The 1,082-nt window shown below is 36.1% G+C and overlaps 1 annotated feature.

The window, feature by feature from the left end:
• Window positions 578-768: a silencer, noted in NCBI's record as "fragment chr5:63315837-63316027 (GRCh37/hg19 assembly coordinates)". NCBI's record gives its function as "represses an EF-1alpha promoter that drives an FKBP-Casp9 reporter gene in an ReSE screen in HepG2 liver carcinoma cells {active_cell/tissue: HepG2}" and the evidence as "EXISTENCE:reporter gene assay evidence [ECO:0000049][PMID:32094911]".

A 1,082-nucleotide genomic window follows, 5' to 3' on the forward strand; every position in this document is an offset into this window, starting at 1 on the left:
GAGAGAATTGCTAAGTTTGTACAAAAGCTACAGTCATGGTTTGAGGAGAAGAAGGCTGAAATAGGAGAAAATCCATGAAAACAATAAAGTGTTTTTCAAATAAATTATTATTCCTTATTACAAAATTAGTACATGGTTATCATAAAACATATAGAAATATGAAAAAATATAAAGACATTTTAATTACCTATTACACTATCTTCCATTGTCAATGTTTATATGTATTTCTTTTTAGACTTTTTCTATACATACGCATAGTTTAATATTTTATTTTAACTTATGATCAGCTTCAGTATTTTCCTATGACATTATATAAGGAGTTTTGAATAGCACTATTATCTTTTATTACATAAATTTACCACAACTAATTTAATCAATATTTTATTCTTGGAAATTTGGGTTCTTCCTAATTTTACAATTAACACAAGGATAAACCATGGCAGGCAGAAGTCAAAGATGGTCTCCAAAAGTCCCGGTCCCTGGGGTACACACAGTCATCCAGTCAAACACTAATCTAGGTGCTGTTGTAATGGATTTTGCAGATGTAATTAAGGTCTCAAAGCAGTTGACTGTAAGATAGGGAGATTATCCTAATCGGCCTGACAATAACATTAGCCCTTTAATCCTGGGTCTAGAGGTCAAAGATAGGGGAAATCAGAAATTCAAAGTACAAAGGGATTTGACACACAAGAAGTTCTTTGTCACTGGAGGTGGGAGATGCCACATGGCAAAGAATGTAGGTGGTCTCTAGGGGCTGAGAGCACACCGCGGCTGACAGCCTGCAAAGAAACTTGGACCTCAAACTGCAGCCACAGGAACTGAATTATGCCAACAAACTGAATGATCCTGGAAGCCGATTCTTCCCCAGAGTCTCTAGACCAGAACTCATCCTGGTTGATACCTTGATTTCAGCTGTGCAATACCCTGAGCAGAGAATCCAGTCATCTTGTTGCTGGCTTCTCACCTATATAACTGAGCTGAGAAATGAGTGTTGTTTTAAGCCGCTAAATTAGTGGTTGTTATACAGCAATAGATAACTAATATAACACACTTACACGGAAATTCTTATGCATATCTCAGAT

Source organism: Homo sapiens, chromosome 5 (genome assembly GCF_000001405.40).
Source record: "Homo sapiens chromosome 5, GRCh38.p14 Primary Assembly".
Taxonomy (NCBI): Eukaryota; Metazoa; Chordata; class Mammalia; order Primates; family Hominidae; genus Homo; species Homo sapiens.